The 13,234-nt window shown below is 38.0% G+C and overlaps 1 annotated feature.

Moving 5' to 3' along the window:
• Positions 11,621–12,122: an enhancer, noted in NCBI's record as "NANOG hESC enhancer chrX:143855361-143855862 (GRCh37/hg19 assembly coordinates)". NCBI's record gives its function as "activates a minimal SCP1, AML or CMV promoter by ChIP-STARR-seq in naive H9 embryonic stem cells {active_cell/tissue: H9 hESC(naive)}" and the evidence as "EXISTENCE:reporter gene assay evidence [ECO:0000049][PMID:30033119]".

Raw genomic sequence — 13,234 nt, 5'->3', positions numbered from 1 at the left:
CTCTGATTAAACTGCCTGTCTGTTTTTTCATGTGGTCTACTTTATTTGAGCCCTTAGCATAGTAACCATAGTTGTTTTAAATTTGTAGTCTGATAATTTCAACATCTCTGCTATATCTGAGCCTGGTTCTGATGCCTGTTCTGTCTCTTTACATTGTGTTTTGTGTTTTTAGTTAGTCTTGTACATTTTTACTGATAGCCAGTCATGATATACTAGATTAAAGAAACTGCCATACATAAGCCTTTAGTAACATGAGGAAGGAAAAGTATTCTATAGATTTATTATTAGGTCCCAGTCTTTTAGGGAGACGTACCTCTGGAATATGATCTTCACATGTGCTTCTCAGACTCACTCACCATCCCTTAGGTGGGACAGAATAGCTAGAGTAAACTGGAGTTTGGGATTTCCCTCTCTCATTTGAAAGACTAGAGGAAGCTGGAGTTGGCCAGTCCTCTTTCCTCAGGTCAGTTGGCTCTGATAAAACCACATCCAGTTAGGCTCTAGTAAGTTTATGCTGAGGGAAGACTATTAAGAAGAACAGAATATTCTAAGCATATTTCATATGTATATTTTTTCTCCTCCCCTTGTCAAAATCATGAGAGAATATTTTTCATAAGAACCTGGTCAAATCCCTAAATGTAAAACTCACAAAAATGGGGAGGAGGGTCATCCTCCATTACTGGCTCCTTCCTAGAGATTTAAGTCTCAGATTGTTCCACAGTGAGCCTCCAGCAGTTTGTCAATTACACATCAGGTTTTACTACCTTGGCACTGGTTCACAAAGGAATTTCTAGTACTGAGTTTCTGCTTTGGAATTGTGTCCGGAATTGGTGGGTTCTTGGTCTCACTGACTTCAAGAATGAAGCCGTGGACCCTCGCGGTGAGTGTTACAGCTCTTAAGGTGGCGCGTCTGGAGTCTGTCCCTTCTGATGTTCAGATATGTTCGGAGTTTCTTCCTTCTGGTGGGTTTGTGGTCTTGCTGGCTCAGGAGTGAAGCTGCAGACCTTCGCGGTGAGTGTTACAGCTCTTAAGGCAACGCGTCTGGAGTTGTTTGTTCCTCCCGGTGGGCTCGTGGTCTCTCTGGGCTCAGGAGTGAAGCTGCAGATCTTCGCGGTGAGTGTTACAGCTCATAAAAAGCAGCGTGGACCCAAAGAGTGAGCAGTAGCAAGATTTATTGCAAAGAACAAAAGAACAAAGCTTCCACACTGTGGAAGGGGACCCGAGCGGGTTGTCACTGCTGGCTCGGGCAGACTGCTTTTATTCTCTTATCTGGCCCCACCCACATCCTGCTGATTGGTAGAGCCGAGTGGCCTGTTTTGACAGGGCGCTGATTGGTGCATTTACAATCCCTGAGCTAGATACAAAGGTTCTCCATGTCCCCATCAGATTAGTTAGATACAGAGTTTGGACACACAGGTTCTCCGAGGCCCCACCAGAGCAGCTAGATAAAGAGTGTCGATTGGTGCATTCACAAACCTTGAGCTAAACACAGGGTGCTGATTGGTGTGTTTACAAACCTTGAGCTAGATACAGAGTGCCGATTGGTGTATTTACAAACCTTGAGCTAGATACAGAGTGCCGATTGGTGTATTTACAATCCCTGAGCTAGACATAAAGGTTCTCCAAGGCCCCACCAGAGCAGCTAGATACAGTGTGTCGACTGGTGCACTCACAAACCCTGAGCTAGACACAGGGTGCTGATTGGTGTATTTACAATCCCTGAGCTAGACATAAAGGTTCTCCAAGGCCCCACCAGAGCAGCAAGATACAGAGTGTCGATTGGTGCACTCACAAACCCTGAGCTAGACACAGGGTGCTGATTGGTGTGTTTACAATCCCTGAGCTAGATATAAAGACTCTCCACCTCCCCACCAGACTCAGGAGCCCAGCTGGCTTCACCTAGTGGATCCCGCACCGGGGCTGCAGGTGGAGCTGCCTGCCAGTCCCGCGCTGTGCGCTCGCACTCCTCAGCCCTTGGGTGGTCGATGGGACTGGGCGCCCTGGAGCAGGGGGCGGCATTCGTCGGGGAGGCTCGGGCTGCACAGGAACCCACGGAGGCGGGGGAAGGCTCAGGCATGGCGGGCTGCAGGTCCCGAGCCCTGCCCCGTGGGAAGGCAGCTAAGGCCCGGTGAGAAATCGAGCACAGCGCCGGTGGGCTGGCACTGCTGGGGGACCCAGCCGCTGGCCCGGGTGCTAAGTCCCTCATTGCCCGGGGCCAGCAGGGCTGGCCGACTGCTCTGAGTGTGGGCCCGCCAAGCCCACGCCCACCTGGAACTCCAGCTGGCCCACAGGGGCCACACGCAGCCCTGGTTCCCACTGGCGCCTCTCCCTCCACACCTCCCTTCAAGCTGAGGGAGTGGGCTCCAGCCTTGGCCAGCCCAGAAAGGGGCTCCCACAGTGCAGTGGTGGGCTGAAACGCTCCTCAAATGCCGCCAAAGTGGGAGCCCAGGCAGAGGAGGTGCCGAGAACGAGCCAGGGCTCTGAGGCCTGCCAGCACGCTGTCACCTCTCAGAATGGTGTAACTTTATTTATTCTCCTGTTACACTTTCCAATTTGGGGGTAACAGTGTGCCGTGTGGCCTCACTTTTATTACTGGTCTAAGAAGAGTTGTTGCTTTTTCAGTTTATTTACCTTTTACTCATTAGACTGAAGTGCAAAACTACAAGATTCTGTATACTGGAAGTCTCTTCTGCTTTTTTATTTTAAAAAGTAGATTTTTTTGTACTCATGCATAAATGCTATCAGGTTGTATGTTATTTTTTATTTAAAACTTAGTTGGCTTCCACACAAAGCAAGAAAATATTTTACAAAATGCTTTCAGTAAATGTCTTAAAATTTATCTCATAAAACTTAAAATAACATCTGAAACAGTCTCAAATATAAAAATATCAATCAAAAAATCTTAATCTGAAGCTCCTTTCTACATCCTGCCACTAACTAACTTGGCTTTCCTAGAGGACACCTTTTCTGTTCTGGGCTCTATTTTCCTTCTCTGTAAAATGAGATGAAATAAGTTGGTTTCTAAGATTTTCTAAGCCCTTATATCTCTAAAACAACCATCTGAACAAACATCTGTTATATGAAGGAAAATGCCAGATGCTGTAAAATACAAACAAACTTAAGATTCTGCTCTTGAGAAGCAATTTAATTAGAAGCTAAATGCAAGTCAAATGCTAATACATGAAACAAAAATCCAGGAGTATTGAGAAGTATAAGCAGAAGGTATTACACAGTGTTACATCATGAGTAAGCAATGGAAGCCTAGAGTTTTGAGGACTCGTGGTTGTCCAGGAATACTTAAATGACTTGATATGAGGGGAATGAAAATGACAATATCTTGTTAGAGCCAGTGATATTTGTCAATGAAGAGTTAGGGATGGATTAGAGATGAACTTAGAAGGAATCAGATCATAAATAATACAGAAGTCAAAATTGATATGCTTAAATCAGACTTTGGACGCAGGGAAATTCATACTAAGGGGAATAAAGTACCATATGACATTGATATACAAATTTGTATTCAATAATTAACGCCAAGAAAGTAATATTTGAACTAAGATTCAAAGGAAGAAATAATTTGAAGAGGTAAAGAATGCCATTTCAACCAAAGGAAATGCAGTGTGTAAAGGCACAGAATAGCAAAAATGTACTACATATTTGGGAAATGAAGAGAAGTCTGTTATAGTTGGACAAAGGAGAGTATCACACAGTATAGTGAAAGAAAAAACTGTAAAGATAGGTGGGGCTCAACGTAAGAGAGCTCAGAATACCACACCAAGGTATTTTGTTTTCTATCATTATTATTATTACTATTATTATTATTATTATTATTAAGACGGGATAGACAGGGTCTCTGTCACCCAGGCTAGAGTGCAATAGCATGATCTCAGCTCACTGCAGCCTCTGCCTCCCAAGTTGAAGCAATTCTTGTGCCTTAGTCTCCAGAGTAGCTGGGACTACAGGTACAGGCCACCACACTTGGCTAATTTTTGTATTTTTACTAGAGATGGGGTTTCGACATGCTGTTCAGGCTGGTGTCGAACTCCTGACCTAAAGTGATCCACCTGCCTCAGCTTCCCAAAGTGTGGGATTATAGGTGTTAGCCACCACACCCAGCCTTGGTTGTTTTTTTGTGTGTGAAGGAAGCTTTCAAGATTCTTAAAGAAGAGAGTGACATGATCTGAATGCATTTTGGTAAACTCAGAATCCTAACAACTCTATCGGCAACGTAAGAACAACAATAAAAATGGTGGATATTACATTGTAATAAGGCAAATAAGAAATGATGAGGAATTGGATAGAGAAAGTAAAATAAGAAAGAAGGAATAGATATGCAAGTGAAAACTAAAATAGCAGCAACAGGATTTAACAATGCAGGAAAGAAGTTGATGCCAGAGTAATACAGCAGTAGTGATAATAAAAGAACGCTATTAATACTAATAGATACAATTTTTTTATGTGTATGTGTTTTTTTTTTTTAAATTATACTTTAAGTTCTAGGGTACATGTGGCACAACGTGCAGGTTTGTTACATACGTATACATGTGCCATGTTGGTGTGCTGCACCCATTAACTTGTCATTTACATTAGGTATATCTCCTAATGCTATCTCTCCCCCTCCCCCCACCCCATGATAGGCCCCGGTGTGTGATGTTCCCCACCCTGTGTCCAAGTGTTCTCATTCAATTCCCACCTATGAGTGAGAACATGCGGTGTTTGGTTTTCTGTCCTTGCGATAGTTTGCTGAGAATGATGGTTTCCAGCTTCATCCATGTCCCTACAAAGGACATGAACTCATCCTTTTTTATGGCTGCACAGTATTCCATGGTGTATATGTGCCACATTTTCTTAATCCAGTCTATCATTGATGGACATTTGGGTTGGTTCCAAGTCTTTGCTATTGTGCATAGTGCCGCAATAAACATACGTGTACATGTAGACACAATTTTTTATGATCACTATTTGCCAGAAACTGTGTCAGGATCTTTACATATATTATTTCATTTAATCCTTACAATTACTCCTTGACAGAAATCATCCAATTTTACTAATGAGGAATCTGAGACTCGGAGAGGTTAAGAAATTTGCGTATGGTCACACAGCTTGTATAAAAAATAATTCTCAAGCATTTTGATATTTCTTACTTATTCTTTAGTCTTTCAGCAAAGGTTCATTGACCTCCTCACATCAATGTAAGTATTCTTTCTCCCACAAACTTTTCACATCATACGTAAATATTGTGTCTTTGTCAACTCTCTCAAATTTGGGGGTAAGGAATCATATCTGTGTATCACAATACCCTCAATTTCTAATATGTTTCTCAGTCAATAGGGGACACTCAACAATAATTCTTCATTTTTTTTGGAAAAATATATATAACATAAAATTTACTAACTTAACCATTTTGGATGTACAGTTAAGTAATATTATCTACATTCACATTGTGGTGCAAGCAATCCTCACAACTCTTTTTAGATTGCAAAAATAAAACTCTATATCCATTGGTCAACAACACTCAGTTGATTCTTTCACCAGCACCTGATGATTACTGTTCCATACAAATCTGTCTACTTTTGGTACTGCATATAATTAGAATTATACAGTATTTGTCTTTTTGTTACTGGCTTATTTATCTTAGCATAAAATCCTTGCCCTAGTCCACTTTGTTTTGCTATAACAGAATATCTGAGGCTAGATAATTTATAAAGAAAATAGGTTTATTCAACTCATAATAATGGTGACTGGAAAGTCCAAAAGAATAGTTCTGGCATCTGCTCAGCTTCTGATGAGGGCCCTGTGCTGCATGACAACATGGCAAAGAAGGAGGAAGAAAAAGCATGTACATGAAAAGAGACGAAACACAAAAGGTAACCTCCCTTTATAATAACCTGCTCTCATGGAAACAAATCCGTTCTAGTAATGTCTAATCCAGTCTCTTAAGAATGACATTAATTTATGTTTAAAAACCTAATCACCTCTTAAAGGTACCACATTGTAACATTGCCACACTAGAAATTCAGGTTCCAACATGAGTTTTGATGATGACATCCAAACCATAGCCATCCTTGAGGCTTATCCATGTTGTAGGTTACATCAGAATTTCCCTCTATTAAAAAGATAAATAACATCTATTATATGTATATATCACGTTTTATTAATTGATCCATGATGAACACTTGAGTTGCTTCCACGTTTTGCCTATGGTGAATAATGCTGCTATAAACATGGGTGTACAAATAGGTTTTCAAGACCCTGCTTTCAATAATTTTGGGTAGATACCAAAAAGTAGAATTGCTGAATCATATGATAATATGATTTTGTATTTTTTGAGGAACCACTATACTGTTTTCCATAGCAGCTGTACCATTTTTATATAACCACCAACAGTGCACAAGGGATCTTATTTTTCTACATTCTTACCAACAATTGTTATTTACTATTTGTTTTTCTCAACATAGCTTACCCATATCCTAATGGGTAAAAAGTGGTGAACAATAATTTCTGAATGAATAAATGAGTGCTTAACAATTAAAATGAATGTTTTTTAGCCTAATTTTTTCTTTAATTCATTTCATTCTTTCTAGAATAGTTATGGATTCCATTAGCTCTAATATATTTTATTCTGTGTTTTGCTTAGGCTGTATGAAAATACTGCTGAAACTTCCCAAGTAAAAGTAATTTTAGATTTTGTAATTTTTCTTCTCTTTTTGGTATGCATCCTACAAAGATGCCTTAAGAATACTCAGCTGACCTTCACAGTCTACCCATGGCATGTTTGGGTAATTTGCAAGTTTTAGATAGGCTCTGGACCTTGTTTTTCATGAGTAGGCTTTTATAAATCCTTGGGTTGGCAAAAATATAATTAATAAAATCTAATGGGTAAGAGCCACTTTATGTCTTTGTCAAGCCAGTGAAATTTTGTTTGTTGTACATGCATTGTAAAATTAAAATGCAGAAAATCATCTATAGAGATTTTCTTTAGAGGGAATGAATATGTTGTTTAAAATATGCTGCACAGCATATAAAACTTGGAGACAGTGATTTTAATTTCAAACAGAAAATTATCTATGAAGGTGCTGAAGAGTATTGCCTGTGTGCTTTCTTAAAGATCCATATAAGTAAAAACTTTGGTCTAATGTGCTTTTGCAAAAGCAAAAAAAATGACTTTCATAAATATATGTTTACCCAGTATTTTTAATTTGGCATTTCTACTAACACAAAAAGAGTGCTCCAGCTATCAGTTGTTTCTTCACCATTTTTTATTCACTGTTTAGAGGGACTGCTTTGGATTTGTAGTAACAATTTTATCTTTTTGTTTCCATTGGTAGAAAATAAATTTCTATCCAAACAAAACATCTATCTATATGTTATAGATGTCTATATATAGTATATGATATATAGATACGTATAGATTCATATAATGTATGTATAATTATAACATACAAGATATGATATATAATCTGTATAACTATGTATAACATATAAGATATATAATCTATATGATACATATTTAAAATCGAATTATTTATAATTCAAACAAAAGAGAACACAACCCCATTTACAGTGGCACCAAAAATAATAAAATAGTAATAAACCTAATTATGGAAGCAAAAGAATTATATTCTGGAAACTGAAACATCACAAAAAATAAAGGAGACACAAATGAAAAACATTCTGTGATCAAAAATTAAAAGCATAGTCTCTTCAAAAAATGGTTTTGGGAAAAGTGGATATCCACATGGTATTGGGAAAACCTGATTTCCAGATGCAAAAAAATAAAATTGGACCCATATCTTAAAACATACACAAAATTCAACTCAAAATAAATTTAAGACTTAAAAACAAGACATGAAACTGCAAATCTCCTAGAACAAAACATAGGTGAAGACCTTAATGGCATTGGTGTTGGCCTTAATTGATTGATATGACACCAAAAGCACATGCAACAAAAGGAAACGTAGATAAGAGAAACTACAAGTTTCTGCACATCAAAGGATACAAAAGTTGCCTTTTCATGAGTGAAAAGGCAACTTTTGAATGGCAGAAAATATTTGCAAACCATATATCTAACAAAAAGTTAATATCCAAAATATTCAGCAACTCAACTCAATAGCAAGAAAGCAAATAACCTGGTTAACGAATGGGCAAAAGACCTGTATGAAATAATAAGAAATATAAATATTAGTCTATTCACCCAGTGCCTGGAACAGAGCTCTTAAATGCCTCGTAATTTACTGAGTGATGGGATTCTAAGAGCATCTTTTAGTCTAGTATTTGGCCTCTGCCCCAGTTCCTGAGACAGAAATTGTAATATTCCCTTGCAGGTTGGGGTGCTAGGCAAATCTTTTGTTCTGACATTCGATCTTTGACTTCCAGTTTCTGACACAGAGCTGCTAAAAGCTTTGAGATTTCCTAGGTGATTAGAGCATCTTTTCTTCTAATGAGATGACTTTTGGTGAGTTCCTGGGTAGCCTTAAGATGGGGGTTGGTTGCCAGGGAAACCATTCCTGTAATTAGAGGATTAGAACTTTGAGCCCCACTCTCTGACCTCTAGGGAGGGCAGAAAGTTGACTTGATTACCGATGGCTAATAATGTAATCAATCATGCCTACACGATGAAGCCTCCATAAAAACTCAAAAGGACAAGAATAGAATGAGCTTCCAGATAACTGAACATGTGGGTATTCCTGGAGAGTGGCACGTGGGAGAGGGTATGAAAGCTCCATGAGCCTTCTCTCATACCTTGTGCTAGGCATCTCTTCTATCTAGGCGTTCATTTGTATCTTTTGTAATGTATTTTATGATAAATGGCTAAATGTAAGTCGCACATTTCCCTGAGTTCTGTAAGAACCTCTGGCAAATTCATTGAACCCGAGAATGGGTTATGGTAACTCTGGTTTATAGACAGTCAGTCAAAAATGTAGATGACAACCTACTACTTGTGATTAGCATTTGAAGTGGAGGGCGGGGCAGTCTTGTGGAACTGAACCTTTAATCTGTGGAATCTGATGCTATCTCCAGGTAGATAGTATAATAATTGAATTGAATTAAAGGATACCTATCTGGTGTCTTTGGAGAATTGTTTGCTTAGTGTGGGGGAAAAAAACACACATTTGATATCTGAGGTGTATTACTTAGGTAGTGAGAGTAGGAAAAGTACTTTGTTTTTGCTTGGTTTTAAAAAATATTATATCTCTTTAATTTAAATAGGCATGTCTCAAAAGAAGACACACATATAGCCAATAGGTATATGAGAAAATGCTCAACATCACTAATGTGAAAGGAAAATAAATTTTGGGACCCCAAAGTCACTAAGCTAAAGGGAAAAGTCAAGCTGGAAACTGCTTAGGGCAAACCTGCCTCTCATTCTATTCAAAGTCATCCCTCTGAGGCTCACCTGAGACAAATGCATATCTGATTGCTTCCTCTCTCCTATCGTTTATATAAAAATGCAGATTCACTGAGCCAGGCTAAATTGTGTAAGCAGTGGAAGGCTGATCAAGGACTCAAAAGAATGCAACCCTTTTGTCTGTTATCTGCTTCTAACCTGGAAGCCCTCACTTTAAGTTGTCCTGCCTTACCGGCTGGAACCAATGCACATCTTACACGTATTGAGGCTGGAACCAATGCACATCTTACACGTATTGATTGATCTCTCATGTCTCTCTAAAATGTATAAAAGCACACTGTACCCCCAACCACCTTGAACACATGTCTGAGTCTGTGTCACAGGTGTGTTCTTAACCTTGGCAAAATACACTTTCTAAATTGACTGAGACCTGCAGATATTTGGGGTTCACACTAATTATCTGAAAAATGCAAAGGAAGCCCAGAAAGGGAACCCTTGCTCACTGTTGGTGGTAATGTGAATTAATAGGGCTGTTATGGGAAATAGTATGAAAGTTTCTCAAAAAAAAAAAAAAAAAAAAAAAAAAAAAAAAAAAAAAAAAAAAAAAACAACAACAACAACTACCATATAATCCAGTAATCCCACTTCTGGGTATATATCCAAAGAAACTGATATCGACTTGTTAAGGGGGCATCTGCACTCTCATGTTCATTGCAGCATTATTCACAATAGCCAAGATATGCAATCAACCTAAGTCCCATCAACAGATGAATGGATGCAGAAAGTGGGGTGTATACACAACAGAATACTATTTAGTCTTTTTTTAAAAAAAGATGTTGGCATCTTTTTTTAAGATGATACAATCCTAAGCTTACTTGTAGGACAGATGTTGCACAGTAATGGGAAAGTCAGGAAAACTAGAAGCTACCACCTCTACTTAGCTCACTGATCAAAAACAGGCATGTCACTTTGAGACAAGAAGGCCATTGTCCCCATCCCCAGATTTGGACTAGTGGCACAGAGATATTGCCCGGAAGAGAGGCAAATCATAACAGAGATCTCTGGAGCTCTTTTCAAGATAAGAGATTTTGTTGGAAACATGTGAGGAAGTTCAAGGCTAAAAGGGCTTGAAAAAGATGCAAATTCTGCTGGTAAACAATGAAGAAGCATAATGGCATCTTCATGAAAACAACAAGCTAAACTGTAGGCCAGTTAGTTTATCAGAGAGGTCTCAGGAAAGAGGCAACTAAGAAGAGCCCTCCATGGGTCAGAACAAAATTTCAAGACTGTTTTCAAAGACTACCACTGCAAAGTGTCCTGAATTTAACTGTATTACACTGAGTAGCAGTTTATGCTTCACAGCATTATTGAAAACAAAAGAGTAATCAGTGGCAATTTGTATTGCTTAACAGCTGACTGTGATGCCTAAACAGACAGCTTAACAAAGAGACAGGGGAAAGACACAGGCCAAGACAGCCCTGATAATAACACTCTCATCCCAGGGTAAAATTATGCATGGCCAAAGTTCCCATTTTGAGGAGCAACATCAGAGGATTCAGACTGAAAAGAAAACAGACTTCACTAAAATAGCCCAGATAAGTCACTAAACAAATAAATAAGCAAAAAACAACAACAACAACAAACCAAGCAGGTGGAGGTGTGGATAAGTGTCAAAACTGGCTATAATGTTTTATGAAAAATATCCAAATTTCAACAAAGTATTATGAGATATGCCAATAAATAGGAAAGTGTGATACAGACACGGGGAAAAAATAGACAATAGAAACAGCCTGTGAAATGGCATACATGTTGTTTTTAACAAACACTTCTAGCAACCATTATACACATGTTCCCAGAACCAAAGAAAACCATGTTTAAATAAGAAATGGAAGGCATAATGACAATTACGGACATAGAAATTATAAAAGCAAAAACAAATTTAAGAGTTGAAAAGTATAATAACTGAAATTAAAAATTTACTAGATGGGGCTTAATAGAAAAATTGAATTGGAAGAATAAAAAATTAGTGAACTTGAAGATAAATTAACAGAGATTATGCAATCCAAACAACAGAGGGGAGAAAATAGAATGAAGAGAAGTTATGAAAGACTCAGGAAAATGTAGGACACCATTAAGTACACCATCATATGTGTAAGGAGAATAATACAAAGAAGGGGAGAGAAAAAGAAGTGGAAAAAATTATACAAAAAATAATAGCTAAAAAAATTAATTAAAAAAAAGTCATTAATCTACAAATGGAGGAAACTCAGAAAACTCCAAGAGGATAAATGCAGATTGTGAACCCATAAATCTGAGAAAGGTTTCAGTTAATTTCAAAAGTTTATTTTGCCAGGGTTAAGGATGCATGCCTGTGACTAAGCCTCAGGTTGCCCTGATGACATCTCACCAAGGGGGTCAGAGCACAGTTTGGTTTTATACATTCTGGGAGACATGAGACATCAATCAATATAAGTACAATGAAAAGGTGGGACAACTTGAAGCAAAGGCAGAAAGACTCAAGCAGGCAGGAGGCTTCCAGGTCATAGGTAAATAGACAAATGGTTAAATTCTTTTGAGTTTCTAATTAGCCTCTCCAAAGGAGGCAGTCAGATATGCATTTATCTCAGTGAGCAGAGGGATTTCTTTGAATAGAATGGGAGACAGGTTGGCCCTAAGTAGTTCCCAGATTGACTTTTCCCATTAGCTTAGTGATTTGGGGCCCCCAAATTTATTTTACTTTCAGAAGATCCAGACACAGAAACTTTACGGAAAAATATTGAATACCAGATACAAAGAGCAAATCCTTGAAGCAGCAAAAGAAAAATACAACATGTGTATACAGGAGAATCATAATAAGATTTTTTGCTAACTTCTCATGAGAACCAATGGAGACCAGGAGGCAGTGAGATGACGTATTTAAAGTGTTATAAGAGAAAGAAACATTCAATCAAGAATTTCATATTCAAACTGTCTTCATAATTGAGAGAGACATCAATTGAACTAATATTCGAGAGAGACAGAGATACGTAAACTTTCAGAGAATTCAAAAGAGCTGCCTTGAGGAAACTCAACAAAATTCAACATGACACAGAGAAGGAATTCAGAATCCTATCAGAAAAATTTAACAAAGAGATTACAGTAATTAAAAAGAATTAGACAGAATTCTAGAGTTGAATAATGCATCAGAGTCCCTTAATAGCAGAAATGATCAAACAGAAGAAAGAATTAGTGAACTTGAAGACAGGCTATTTGAAAATACACAGTCAGAGGAGTCAAAAGAACAAAAAGAATGAAGCATGTATATAAGATCTATACATACAACGGAGCTCCAGTACGCATGGCAGCAGACTTCAGTGGAGACCCAATGAGCCAGGAGAGAGTGGCGTGACATATTTAAAGTGCTGAAGGAGAAAAAGTTGTATCCTAGAACAATATGTTGAGGGAAAATATCCTTTAAACATGAAAGAGAAATAAAGACAGTCCCCCTCAAAACAAAATTTGCTGAGGATTTTATCAACACCAGATCTGTCCTACAAGAAATTCTACAGAGAGTGCTTCAGTCTGTTAAAAAAGAAAAAAAGAAGAAGTTTAATGAGCAATAACAAATCATCAGTAGGGACAAAGGTCACTGGTAACAGTAAATACACAGAAAAACAACAGAATATTATAACATTGTAATTGTGATATATATGCTACTACTATCATGAGTAGAAAACCTAAAAGGTGAAACTATCAAAAGCAATAACTACAACAACTTTTTAAGACATAGATAGTATAAAAAATATAAATAGAAACAACAAAAAGTTAGTAACCAAGGGGATGAGCTTGAAGGGTAATGTCTTTATTTGGGTTTACTTTGTTTGTAAGTTTTTCTGTTTATGTAAT

This window comes from Homo sapiens, chromosome X (assembly GCF_000001405.40).
Source record: "Homo sapiens chromosome X, GRCh38.p14 Primary Assembly".
NCBI lineage: Eukaryota > Metazoa > Chordata > Mammalia > Primates > Hominidae > Homo > Homo sapiens.
Note: the sequence above shows the minus strand (reverse complement) of the source record. Positions and strands in the feature narration are given on the sequence as shown.